The 15,050-nt window shown below is 35.2% G+C and overlaps 1 protein-coding gene across 15 annotated transcripts in view; it reads left to right on the top strand.

The window, feature by feature from the left end:
• The window catches only part of PDE4D (phosphodiesterase 4D), a 1,553,091-nt gene that overhangs the window by 264,128 nt on the left and 1,273,913 nt on the right, over positions 1–15,050 (top strand). For 3 of the 15 annotated variants that reach the window (XM_047417293.1, XM_011543469.2, XM_047417301.1), the window contains exon 1: positions 8,968–9,085. The exons of the other annotated variants lie outside the window; for them this stretch is intronic. The gene's annotated coding sequence lies outside the window, so the exon portion shown is untranslated. Of the gene's footprint in view, positions 1–8,967; positions 9,086–15,050 lie in introns of those variants that run through there. 15 annotated transcript variants of the gene reach the window in all.

Below are 15,050 nucleotides of genomic sequence, written 5' to 3'. Positions count from 1 at the left end.
TTAGATAGGTCCAGAAATTGCTGGTACGTTGGGGCTGTGGGCACATTTGGTTTATGTTGCTTTCCTAGATGTTAAGTGTCGCAACAGCTCGCTATGGTTTGCTCCTCACTTGAGCAAATTGATAACAGCTTGTCTGTGACTCCTTAAGAATAATGAGAATCAACCTCATTTTAGGAGAGGGGACAGATTGTGTCTGTACTTGGCATCCTTCTGCAGACATCCTTCTGCAGCTGGGATTGCTTGAGACACTTCACAGAGTTGAGGACTCATATTGACAGAGAAATGTCCATTTTGTCTGAGGAGCTGCTGAATCTGTCAGCATCTACTGGCAGAAGTGCTTTCTCTAGCATGACTTCACCTCTCAAATCCCTGGATGTAACAAAAGTCAATATAAGATCTCTGCAGTCTATTTCAGTCCTTTGTCATTTTATCAGATAACTAAATGCTAAATGCCTTCAGATACATCATAAGCTAAGGGCTCCTTTGAAAACAGGACAGACACTTTACAAACTACATCAAAGCATGCAGATAGTTTTATTTTTAATACTTTTTTTGTCTTGCATGAAATACTTGAAAATAGTTCAGATATCGCCGCTGCCACAAAAATTGTCCTATAGCAAAGAAAATAATAGCTCTTTTACCTTAATAGCGAAAGTTTTGTGTAGAAATGATTTGAGGATAGAAGAGGTTTTTCCAAATATGATTTTGTTGTGTTTTCTTTTTTCTCTTTCTCTCTTTCTTTTCTTTTCTTTCTTTCTTTCTTTCTTTCTTTCTTTCTCTTTCTTTCTTTCATTCATTCTTTCTTTCTTTCTTTTTCTTTCTTTGACTCTATAATAACTTCTTATTACATGCAGAAGTAAATCTTAATTCTTTTTGGCCATCTTTTCTGTGTGAATTTTATTTTATTTTAAAAATAGCTTTATTGAGATATCCTTGACATATACAAATTGTATATATTTAAAGTGTACAACTTGATGTTTTATTCTATGTATTTATTATGAAATGATTACATTCCAGCTAATTAACATATCTATCACTTCTACATAGTTACCATGTGGGTGCATGTGTGTATGTGTGTGTAGATATACGTATGTGAAATTCAACATGAATTTTGGATTCTATAATATTGTTAAACACTTTAGAAATAAACTTTCTTGTCTCTACCTCAGTATGTTTGCACATACATTCTTCCCAAGAAGCAAACCCATTCTTGTTTGTCAGTGGAGGCTTTACTTCTTTCGACATTTGCCTCCTCAATTTTCTTCTTCAGTTCTGTCTCCTCCACATGATGTCAGCTCACATATTCAAAATATGTTGCCTTACAAATCCTCTTGGGTATGTCTATGTATTATTTCCTTAAGGTAGGACTAATTTTACATTCTTTATGTTTTCCAGTGTGTTGACTAGAAATTTTTTTTATGCAATGTGTTTCTAATAAATGCAGTTGTTTGATTCTCTTTCGTTCTAAAACATTCATGAGATTCAAATTGTGATCATATTTCCAGGTAATTGAAGGACACATGAGTTTAGGGTTATTGATTTCATATTTTAAACAAAATCACAAATTAAGGATTTATAAAATAAAATAGATTGTGATTATATTTTTTGTTTGTCCCTTAATCTTTAAATAAATAAGTGGTTTCACAAAATTTTCTTTTAAAGATATTTTAAAACCTCTGATGAGGCCATGCTTAAAAATAATTAAACCCATTATAAAGTAGTGGTACTGATGGTGATGTTTGAAGTAATATCTTTGAGTTTGGGGATTATGTGATTTTGGAACTCTGCATGTAGACCAACTTCTGGCAACAGTTTGGAATAGAGAGGACAACTTTGGCCACCTGGAGCAACAGCAAAATCTGATGGTGATAACTCTCAAGAGAGTCCATATAAGGCTTAGTAAAGATACATGGAGGAATTGTATGCATCTGATTTTTATTTGTAAAATTAAATTCTGAGATTCCAAATGCAATACTGAAATTGTGAGCTCTTTCTTTGACAACAAATGTGTCCAGGGAGATGATGAGCTTGTTAAACATCAAGGTTATAATTCAAATGACACCATCAAGTTGAAGAAATGTAAAAAGATATACAGACACAATGTTTGAGGAATCATTTGCCAGTGTTACATTGGAAAATATGTTGCATAGTGTTTTCTTAAGCTTATTCCTTTGTTGTTGTTGTTGTTGTTGTTGTGGAGATAGAGTCTCACTATGTTTCCCAGGCTGGTCTCAAACTCCTGGAGCTAAGTGATCTTCCCACCTTGGATTAAAGGTGTGAGCCACTGCACCTGGCCATACTTACTTTTGAGTAGTTGGTGATAATGATGATGTTGATAGAGAGTAATTAAGTATGAATGAGTTATTTACTTCTTATAACAATATACTATGTTATACTTATGTCCATTTATAAATGGGAAAATTGAGGCTCATAGAGAAGATGTGAGTTGCCCTAGGTTATATAGCTAGTAAGCTGCAGTTAGGATTTGAACCCACTTCTCACTGAGTCCAAAGACCAATATTTTGAGATACTGAAAAGTTTTTTAGGATATAATAAATGAGTCATGAATAGTTACTGTGACATATAAAAGAGGGATTCCTTGTGTATTCTGAGAAGTTCCAATGAGTTAGTAGTGTTGGTCAAGTCGCCTCTTGGTATAATGTTAACATTTCTGGTTAAACCCTGAACTCTGCAGCCATCAAGAAATTATAGCCCAAGAACAAAGGGATCATAGGTAGTCTCCCACATAGTGATGTCTGTCCTTTGACAAACATCAGTGTCTTCACTTTGACAATGGTACGTTTTCTTTTGCTTATCATCCCTGGTTAAATCTTTTTCTAATCTCAGCTGAATGGGTTGAACAATGATAGTCATTTTCATCCCTTGATATGAAGAGATGGTTACTAAACTCAAAGCAAGAAAAAGTGTAAATATGACACTTCTGAGCCGGGGAAGCAAAGTGTAAACTGAGGCAGCAGTATTCTTCTTTATGAAGTATTTAAGCCATGATGCTATTTTTCAGTGTATTTGCTATGAGAATGAGAGTACTTGCTAATGAACACTCTCATTGTATATTAATAGCTGTATTAATTGAGCATTTATTATATGCCAGGTACAGCACTTAGGGCTAACTGCATGCTTTCTCATTTAATTTTTACAATGACCTTATGATGTATATACCATTAATATTCTCATGTCATAGATTAGCAACCTGAGGCACAGAAAGGGTAAATCACTTTCTAAGATTACACATTTTATTACTGGCTTAATCAGATGATGTCTAAGTATCATGATGACATAGTCTGCGCTATTAACAACTCTCTCCTGCTTTTTGCACTTTAAGCATTCTACATGATTTTTACACACGATTTTGCTCATGGTTTACCTAGATGATTTTGAAACTCAATCAAGTTATGGCTACAGGATTATATGAAGGGACACCATAAAAACCCTGTCTATTAATTGCTGTTGGCTTTGCTTTAGCAGAAGACACATTGGATTGGGCATCAGGGCAAATGGATTCTGGCAAAAGATATGCTCTTGGAACCACTTCTTTCAGCTATTAAGTGGAATGAATAATGCTTCACTTGCTTAAAGGCAGGGGCTGGACAAGATAGCATCTTTGACTGAATATGAACAGAACAACGTATTTCTAATTGTGTTCTTTAGGGGCCAGGGTTGCTGGCATAAGCATGAATTGAGCATCTTAAAAGGTGTCATGAAACCATGAAGGAAAGAAATCTCTTGCCTCTTGGTATAATGTGAACATCTCTGATTGAACCCTGGACTCTGCAGCCAACAAGGGACTACAGCCCAAGAACAAAGGGATCATAAGTAGTCTCCCACATAGCAATGCCTCTCCTTTGAGAAACATCAGTGTCTTCACTTTGACAGTGCTACATTATCTTTTGGTTATCATCCCTAGCTAAAAATAATTTTAGAAGGGCATAGAAAGAAGAGGTATATCTAAGATACTCTCTTCTAAGTACCAAGGTTGATTGATGATTCTTTTCAGAAACAAGAAACTTTCTTAAAGTATAATATGTTGATGGCTTTGTTGAGTTAGCAATTTATCACACCACATAGTTCTGTGGGTAATTTATCATTGAATCAGGTTCCCTTTACTCTGTCCCAATATTATAGGTTAATCTGGGACATGTAGTTTCTGAAATACCGACAGTCCCATTTTGAATTATTATTTTAGAAGCTGTGAAGACATTTAGCTCCTTTTGATTTCATACTCTTGACTTTAGTACTCATTGTAGACATGAGAAGTATGTGGCATTGTGTGAGCATCTGTAAAGATTGTAAATGATATTAATTAAGTTGGCTGTGCTTTTTCTCCTCACAATGGATTCTTTTGTTAGGCTGGTAATAATCGCGTTTTTGGTAAAAACACCTCATGGAATTTTTTTCCTTTCTCATAAAATAGCTGTTTACTGTAAAATTGAGATAGCCTCTCAAGTCTGGAACACCTTTCAATTCATCAAAAAGGGACAACCTAATATTCCAAAGAAGACTCAATCCTTTTAACACACATACATTTTAGGGCCAGTCAAGAGAAGTGGCCTGTTCTGTAGGAAAACATTTCTTGGCACATTATTATTTTAAGTGATTGCAGGAGACCACAGAGGGAGAGAAAAGAGACAACAACAACTTCTAGCATGCCTGGGGGATGACTTGCTCTTTCATATTTGTGGAACCCTATGTCAAGAGAGAAAACATCTAAAAATAAAAACGCATTTACTCAGATTCTCTAGGGCAAGGTGCAAAGAGCCTGTGCTGTAGGAGCTCAGATCAAAAATTAAATGGTTGAAACCTGCAGAGCAACTGCCGTCAGCAGAACCGTGGGCTCCTTCTGGTTGATTTTGTGCCATTCAGTTAGTTTCCATAAATTGGCCTTGGGTACTGATGTTCTTTGGTCTTTTTTGTGCTGTCCATAACTAATAGTGACCGTTGCTGGTAAATTGTTTCTTCAGTCCAGTGATTATTGGCCTTTCAAAGCATTGACTTCCTCCACCAATGTATACAGTCACCAAATGGGATCTGGTTTGTTCAACATTCTAGTCAAGTTCCAAGTGGTAGGAATCAAAATTCCACTCTAGTTTATGTGTATTATTCCTATAGCTCTTCCCTCGAGATGTGGCATGGGATGGAAAATGGAGCCTATGTGTGGTATAGGCACTACTTAAAATTTATCAATAGAGAGGGATCCATGAGGAGGAGGAAACAAGCCAAAGAGATTGGGCAGGCTAATTTTCTTCTAGACAGTTCCTGCTCTCTTGGATTTTACTCCAATTCCCCACTCTTTCCATAGGAGTAAAAGTCTTAAAACTTGAACTAATGTTGAATTTTAATCCTGAATGGTGTAGCATCCTTCATTTCTATCCGTCTCATTATCAGCCCATACCCCTGCCATTGCCACTACCATATTTTCAAATGTCTTTCAACTCTCCAAAACCTACTGACCCTAGTTTATCATGCATTTGAAAGGCTCCCCACTTTTTGTAGAACTTCAGGTATTTTAAAACATATTTAGAAAGACTCTAAATAAACTGGAGTGAGTCTATAGCTAATGTTTGACCAAAAAAAAAAAAAAAAGTAAAAAAGTGTGCTGTGAAATTTTGAATATTAATTGTGCCAATTGGAATGGCATTTTTAAAAAGAAACTATTTCATCCATAAATGATAAATATATATTTCTTTGTTTAAAAAGTACATTAATGCAAAATTCTCCACCCCCATGTATTTTTAGCTTACATATCCATCTAACCTAAATACAGTCATGCATCACTTAATGAGAGGCATACAATCTGAGAAATATATCATTAGGCAATTTTGTCATTGTGCAAACATTGTAGAGTGTACTTAGATACACCTGGGTGGTATAGCTTAGTATACACCTAGGTTATATGGTATATTCTATTGCTCCTAGACTACAAACCTGTACAGCTTGCTACTGCACTGAACACTGTGGGCAATTGTAACACAATGGCAAGCATTTTTGTATCTAAGCATATGTAAACACAGAAAAAGCACAGTAAAAATACAAAATAAAAGAGGAAAAAAAGTGACCTCTGTATAGGACACTTACCATGAATGAAGCTTGCAGGAGTAGAAGCTGCTCTGAGTGAGTGAGTGGTGAATGAATATAAAGGCCCAGAACATTACTATACACTACTATAGACTTTATAAACACTGTACACTTAACGGTACACTAAATTTACAAAAATATCTTTTTTACCATTCGGCCCAGCAATCCTATTACTGAGTATATACCCAAAGGAATATAAATCATTCTATTATATCATAAAGACACAGGTAGTCATATGTTCATTGTAGCACTATTCATAATAGCAAAGATATGGAATCAACCTAAATGCCCATCGATAATAGTAGATTGGATAAATAAAAAGTGGTACATATACACCATGGAATACTATGCAGCCATACAAAAGAATGAGATCATGTCCTTTGCGGGAATATAGATGGAGCTGGAAGCCATTATCCTTAACAAACTAATGCAGAAACGGAAAACCAAATACTGCATGTTCTCACTTACAAGTGGGAGCTAAATGATGAGAACACATGGACTCATAGAGGAGAACAACAAACACTGGGGCCGACTAGAAGATGGACAGTGGGAAGGGGGAGAGGATCAGGAAAATAACCAGCAGGTACCAGGCTTAATGCCTGGTGATGAAATAATCTGTACACCAAACCCCCATGACATGAGTCTACTTATATAACAAACCTGCACATGTACCCCTAAACTTAAAAGTTAAGAAAATTTCTTTCTTCAATAAAAAATTAATAGCTAATTTTTATCTTTAACAATTTTGACTCCTGTAATAACACTACTTAAAACGTAAAGCACCATATAGCTGTACAAAAATATTTCCTTTCTCTTTCCTTTCTCTGTATCCTTATTATATAAGCTTCTTATTAAAAAATGTCTAGTTATCTCTTTTATTTTTTGAACTTTTTTCTTAACAACTAAGATACAAATACACATATTAGTCTAGGCCTACATAGAGTCAGTATCAACAATATCACTGTCTTTCACCTTCATACCCTGTCTTACTGAAGATTTTCAGGGGCAATAACATGCAAGGAGCTGCCATCGTCTCTGATGACCATGCCTTCTTATGGAATACCTCTTGATATGCCTACCTGAGGCTGTTTTACAGTTAACTATTTTTTTAATAAGTAGAAGGACCACACTCTAAAGTAATGATAAAAAGTATAGTAAACACATAAATTAGTAACCATTATTTGTTATTGTTATCATGTATTATGTAGTACACATAATTGTGTGTGCTCTAATTTATATGAATGACAGCACAGTAGGTTTTTTATGCCAACATTGCTACAAACATATAAGTACTGCTTTCCATTATGACATTACTATGCCTATGGTATATTAATAACTAGGCTATAGGAATTTTTCAGCTTCGTTATAATCTAATGGGACCACTGTAGTATGTGGTCCATTGTTGACCTAAATGTCATTATATGGCACATGATTATACTTGAAAATAATCAAAGTTATCAGATAGAGAAGGCTTAGGGATGCAGAACCATCTTTACAAGTTTTTGCTGCTTTGAGACAAATCCAACCCCGACTATTACCAGCTTAGAGACACCTCCTAGCTGCCTCTAGAGATGTATATCATCTTTGATCAGGGACTGGGGACCTAAAACAGGAACAATAGCATAGCATGCTTTTATGTGCAATGAATTTTCAAATATTAAAAAAAACCTTCAATATTGTTGTTATATTATCTGCACAGTATTAGGAAAAATGAGTAATAACTTATAAGTGAAAAAATACCTATGCTGCAAAAAACTCTTTTAATGTTGACTCCAGTTTCAGCAGAATAAATTTGTCTGATGATAGCCCCAGTGTCTACAGAAAATATACATTTTCTATTACTGGGGTTACAGTGTATGTAGAAGCACTGTGAGAAACCTTGACATTTTGGCAGAAAAGGATTTTTAACAATAAAATTCAAGAAAAGGTCATATTAGTAGAAATTTTGGTAGTCATTTTAAATGTCTCCCACATTATATGGCATCATAAATGCATTTAATATCAGATTGAATTATGGCTGTAATCTTTAGCCTTAGTAGTCTGAACATCATTTCATACCTAGCTTAATATCCTGGAATGTTATGTGTGGTTTCTGCTTTATTTAAAATAGAGGAGTGACAAGGGTGATGAATACATTTTATTTCTGTTTTCTCATCCCATTTTCTATTGCAAATGAATTTTTTTTCAGAAGTAGGTATGCCTACCTGTATCTTTGCAAAATGCATTTTCAGAAAATAGGTTTGGAATATTCATTTAAATCCTATTTCTTGTGACCCAATGTAAACTCACTGCTGTTAAATCTAAAGTGTGTGAGTTCTTACAGCTGAGCAGTAATTCTACTGACATTTTAATGTCATGTCCTCTCCTTAGCAGCCTGTTTGCATATTGCATGCAGGCTACATGTTAGGATTTTTTAAAACATGAGGTGTCTTGGAAAATGATTTTGACACAACTTGTCCTCTTGGACCAACTGTATTTTATAAACATTTTAATGCTTTACTCTTGAATGATCCATTTCACTAAGAGTCAGAAAACTGAGTTTCTGTCATGCCATGGTGACATGATGCTGACATTGCTGAGCTAGTTACTTATTCCTTTTACCTAAATGTTTAATAGAACACACCCAGCCCTGTGTGGGCATGAGAGGGAAATGGGCCCAGAAGTTGCAGTGGTTGCATTCACAAGCCATTAAGCTGTGGTCAGTTTCTCCCTAAAGCATTGTACCTCCCTTAGACAACTTCCTCTTTGGGGAGTTGCAATATCTAGAAACTTCAGAGGAAGGGGTCCAGCTGCAGGGATATGGTTAAAAGTTTTTTCAGAGGAGCCACTTTGCATGGCAGTGGGCCATTTCCTGCTATCACTCAGGCCCAGCCTACCCACAAGTTACAGTCTTTGGCAAGAAACAGAAGGAAACAGTGGTGGCTCTTGGAGCCACATGCTCAATTTTTGATGGTGCTCTTTGCGCAGTGAATGCCAGCTGCTCCTCAATCAGGTATGCTGCTGTTGTTCTGAGAGTGATTAGGAACAAAAGGGATGATGCAGATGTGTCAGGCTATGGGAAGTGCAAATGTATATTTTTGGAGCACTGAATGTAAAGAGATTTAGAAGTTTCCTGTTGGAAAGCAGGCTATCGAAGCAGGCAGGCAAAATGATTTTGACACCAATACCAACCAAGGGCAAGAAGTGGAAGCTTGGAAATATACTTGTTTGGGAATAAGAAATTGATAAGACAAATATACTTTTTAAAAAGAAAGATAAGAGAGGTCATGAAAGAATTGTGAAGGTCCAGTCTGTCCTATTTCCTTTGCTACCACCTGAGTCTGTTACCATGGTCTCACTCTTGCATGAAAGCAGTCATCTCCTACCTAAGCCCCTTCTGTTCATCTTGCTCCTTGGAGGCTGGCCTCCACATCCTTGAAAATACAAGTCTGATTTTGCCTCTCCTCTGCCCAAACCTGCCAACAGCTTCCCAACTCATGAGGAGTGAGATCAAATGTCTTGCCATGGCTGACATGGCATTCTTGGGCCTGGCCCTGACCTTCTCTGTCCTTATCTTGCACCACTCTTACTGTCACTCGCTCCCTTCAGGTCCCTCTGTTTCCTTGCTGCTCTTTTATATGCCATCCCTCCTCAGGGCCTTTCCACCTTCATTTCTGATTAGAATATTCTTCCCCCAGATATCCGTATTACACACTTTCTCACTCCATTATCATCTGTTCAAATAGCACTTAAAAAGAGAGGTTCTGTGGCCATGCTATCTAAAATAGCACACTCACATGCACCCATGACTTTCTCTCCACTTACCCTATCTTCTTCACAGCACGTAGCACCACCTGTCATATTCTATCAAGTTGAACCATATGAAATTGCTTTTGGGTGGATCAAGAACAGCTGAATATTGGCCATTTCATTTGGTTCAAACTAAAATATATTTATTAATTTGTTTATTATTTGTATTTCTTCTATACTATGATTGAAACCCTGTGGGTCAAAGGTTTTGTTTTGTTTTTGGCAACATCTCCAATGTCTAGAGCACAGCAGGAACTTAGACAAGTTGTATTGAATTAATGGAAAGGAAGAAGAAAAGCCATATAACTTGTTGACAGTAAGCAGTGAACACTTATATGAAAAATGATCTCTCTCCCTTTCTCTGTCTCTGTCTTGTGTGTGTGTGTGAGAGAGAGGGAGAGGAGAGAGAGGAAGCACTAGAGGACTCTAGAAAAAGGTGATGGGATGGGCTTCAGAGGGAATCCAGAAAATTAAAGGATTTATTTGGATCCATGTAAAGTTCAGTGTAATGTTTCTAGTTGTAGCTAGGGGCTATGTATGCACCTATAATTATTATATATTTTTTTCCATGTGGTTTTCTGAAACTGGGACCAAGTGGGATCAAACAAGCTTTGGATAATATAATTGTGAACTGAAAAAGTTTCATAATTGGTAAATTACAAGGATTCAGCTTGCCAATTGTGCTGTAAGTTGATTTTTACTAGAGAAAATAAGTTACTTTTTACTAACAGTTCTAGAAACATGGCTAATAATCTTACTATCATCCCTGCTACGGATGCTTAGAAATACTGCATGTCTAATCTTGAAAGGAAATAAAATCATTACTATGGGTCAGAAGTAAAGGTTGAATTGAAAACTCCAGGGATAAACACTTGAATTGATACTGTGGCTGCCTTTGGGACAGTATTATTAGTCTCACTAACAAAGGGCTTGAGATATGAAATGGAAAATTGAGGTTCTGTGGGTTGGAACAGAGATCTTCAGTACAAAGTTGTGACCTTGGAATGGAAAGGACTGAAAAAAAATCATCAGAACAGAAGAGACAAGGAAGCTGTGTCTTAGAAAAAGAATGTCTCCTTCAAAAACACATCTCTATGGATTTGTACCTCATTTAGGTTTGGGAATTGAATTTGTACTACTTGTGTAGTATGGAAAAATCACAACTTGAAAAATTAACTACAGAGAGCCCAGATTACTGATACTTCTAAAGCACCTGGCAGAATCTGTTACAAACTTCTTAGGAGAAAGATACCATTCAACCAAGTTTCACAAGATTCCTAAACATAAATATCTTCTAAAGATTAACTCACAACCTCAAACTATAAAACATAAGAACAAAATCCCCCACAAGTGAGAGTTAGCAAACACAAAGAGCAGGATTAGAATAAGACCTAAAAGTGATGGAACTATCACATAGACTATGAAAAATGAATATTGAAAATGATAGAGACATAAATGAATTATAAATATAAGAAAAAATAAGGTTAAAAAAAGAACACACTTTATAAAGGTGAAAACTAAAGTAATTGAAATTAATAATTTATCATAGGTTAAACAAATTAGATATAGCTGGAGAGAAAATTAGTAGACTGTAATATAATTTGAAGAAATCAACCAGAAGGCACTGAAAAGAAAATGATAGAAGATATGAAAAAGAAGTTAAGAGACATGTTGGAGAGCATAAGATTCAATATATGTTTCATAGGCCTTCTAGAAGGAGAGCACAGGAAGATTTGGGAAGAGGCAGTATCTGACTATAATGCAATTAAATTAATAATTTAAATTAAAAGACAACAAAAAGAATCCCACATGGATTTGAAATTAAATCAACACACGTCTAAACAACTCATGAGTCAAGCAAAAAAATAATGAAAATTAGAAAATATTTAAAACTGAATGTTAATATTAATTAAATTCATCCATTAAATATTGTATGAGAAGCAATGAAAGTTATAGTTAGAAAGTTATAGCTTTAAATGCCTATATAAGAAAATGAAAAAAGGTACAAATTAAAAAAAATTAACTTTTAATTTTTTTGGCTACATAGTAGATGTATATATTTATGGGGTACATGAGATATTTTGTACAGGCATGGGGTACAGGCATGCAATGTATCATAATCACATGGGGTGTAAATGGGGTGTCTGTCACCTCAAGCATTTATTTTTTGTGTTACAAACAATCCAATTATACTCTTTTAGTTATTTAAAACTGTACAATTGAATTATTTTTGACTATAGTCACCCTGTTGGGCTAGCAAACCTTAGGTCTTATTCATTCTTTCTATTTTTTTTGTACTCATTAACCATCCCCACTTCCCTCCCTCCTCCACTACCCTTACAAGCCTATGGTAACCATCCCTTTACCATCTATCTCCATGAGTTCAATTGTTTTAATTTTTAGCTCCCACAAATAAGTGAAAACATGCAAAGTTTGTCTTTCTGTGTCTGGCTTATTTAACTTAACACAATGACCTCTAGTTCCATCCACACTGTTGTAAATAACAGAATCTCATTCTTTTTAATGGTTTAATAATACTCCATTTTGTATATGTAACCCGTTTTCTTTATCCATTAATCTGCTAATGGATTGCTACCAATTCCTGGCTATTGTGACTAGTGCTACAATAAACACGGGAGTGTAGATATCTCTTTGATATACTGATTTCCTTTCTTTTGGGTATATACCTAGGAGTGGGATTGCTGGGTCATATGGTAGTGCTATTTTTAATTTTTTGAGGAACCTCCAAACTGTTCTCCACAGTGGTTGTACTAATTTACATTCCCACCAACAGCATACAAGGGTTCCATTTTCTTCACATCCTCGCCAGCATTTGTTGTTGCCTGTCTTTTGGATAAAAGCCATTTTAATGAGAGTGAGATGATATCTCATTGTAGTTTTGATATGCATTTCTCAATGATGTTGAGCACCTTTTCATATATCTGTTTTCCATTTGTATGTCTTCTTTTGAGAATTTTTTACTCAACTCTTTCACCCATTTTTAAATTAGATTATTAGATTTAATAGTGTTGTTTGTGCTCCTTATATGTTCTGGTTATTAATCCCTTATCAGATGGATAGTTTGCAAATATTTTCTCCCATTCTGTGGGTTTTCTCTTTGCTTTGTTGACTGTTTCCTTTACTGTGCAGAAGCTTTTTAACTTGATGTGATCTCATTTGTCCACTTCTGTTTTGGTTGCCTGTGCTTGTGGAGCATTACTCAAGAAATTTTTGCCCAGTCCAGTGTCCTGGAGAGTTTCCCCAATGTTTTCTTTCAGTAGTTTCATAGTTTGAGGTCTTAGATTTAAGTCTTTCATCCATTTTGGTTTTGTATATGGTGAGAGATAGGGATTGGGTTTCACTCTTTTGCATATGGATATCCAGTTTTTCCAGCACCATTTATAGAAGAAATCATCCTTTCCCTAATGTATGTTCTTGGCATTGTTGTTGAAAATGAGTTCCCTGTAGATGTACGGATTTATTTCTAGGTTCTGTATTCTATTCCACTGGTCTATGTGTCTGCCTTTATGCCAATACCATGCTGTTTTTGTTACTATAGCTCTATAGTATAATTTGGAAGTCAGGTAATGTGATTCCTCCAGTTTTGTTCCTTTTGATTAGGATAGATTTGGCTATTCTGGGCATTTTGTGATTCCATATAAATTTTAGGATTTTTTTTCTATTTCTGTAAAGAATGTCATCAGTATTTTGATAGGGAGTGCATTGAATCTGTAGATTGCTTTGGATAGTATGGACATTTTAACAATATTCATTCTTCCAGTCCATGAACATGGGATATCGTTCCATCTTTTTGTGTCCTCTTCAATTTCTTGCACCAGTGTTTTATAGTTTTCATTGTAGAAATCTTTCACTTTTTTGGTTAATTTCTAGGTATTTTATTTAATTTGTAGCTATCATAAATGGTACTACTTTCTTGATTTCTTTTTCAGATTGTTCACTCTTGGCATTTAGAAATGCTACTAATTTTTCTATATTGATTTTGTATCCTGTAAATTTACTGAATTTGCTTACCAGTTCTAATATTTTTTTGAGAGAGTCTTTAGGTTTTTCCAAATATGAGATCATATCATCTGCAAACAAGGGTAATTTGACTCCTTCCTTTCTAATTCGGATACCCTGTGTTTTTTTCTCTTGTCTTACTGATCTAGCTAGGACTTTCAGTACCATGCTGAGTAACAGTGGTAAAAATGGGCTTCCTTATCATGTTCCTGATCTTAGAGAAAAGGCTTTCAGTGTTTCTTCCTTTAGTGTGATACTAGGTATATGTCTTTTGTATATGGCTTTATTGTGTTGAGGTATGTTCCTTCTATACATAGGTTTTTGAGGATTTTTACCATAAAGGGATGTGAAATTTTATCAAATGCTTTTTCAGCATCAATTGAAATGGTTTTTGTTCTTCATTCTGTTGATATGATCTATCACATTGATTGAGTTGCACATGTTGAACTATCCTTGCTTCCCTGGGATAAACCCCACTTGGTCATGAGGAATTATATTTTTAATGTGTTGTTGAATTTGGTTTGTTAGTATTTTGTTGAGGATTTTTGTATCAATATTCATCAGTGATATTGGCCTGCAGTTTTCTTTTCTTGATGTGTCTTTGTCTGGTTTTGGTATCAGGGTAATACTGGCATCGTAGAATGAGTTTGGAAGTATTTCCTCCTCTATTTTTCAAAATAGTAACATTGTTATTAGTTCTTCTTTAAATGCCTGGTAGAATTCAGCAGTGAAGCCATCAGGTACACAGCCTTTCTTTACTGCGAGATTTCTTTATTATAGTTTTGATCTTGTTGCTTATTATTGGTCTGTTCAGGGTTTGGATTTGTTCCTGGTTCAGCCATTGTAGGTTGTATGTGTCTAGGAATTTGTTCATTTATTCCAGATTTTTTAATTTACTGGGATTTAGTTGCTCATAGTAGCCACTAACGATCCTTTGAATTTCTACAGTCTCAGTTGTAATGTCTCCCTTTTCATCTCTATTTTATTTATTTGTGTCTTCTCTCTTTTTTCTTAATCTGGCTAAAGGTTAATCTATTTTGTCTTTTCAAGAAGCAAACTTTTTAATGGATCTTTTGTATTTTCCTTGTTTCAATTTCATTTATTTCTGCTCTGAACTTTATTATTTTTTCTTCTACTAGTTTTGGGTT

This window comes from Homo sapiens, chromosome 5 (genome assembly GCF_000001405.40).
Source record: "Homo sapiens chromosome 5, GRCh38.p14 Primary Assembly".
NCBI classification, from domain to species: Eukaryota; Metazoa; Chordata; class Mammalia; order Primates; family Hominidae; genus Homo; species Homo sapiens.
Note: the sequence above shows the minus strand (reverse complement) of the source record. Positions and strands in the feature narration are given on the sequence as shown.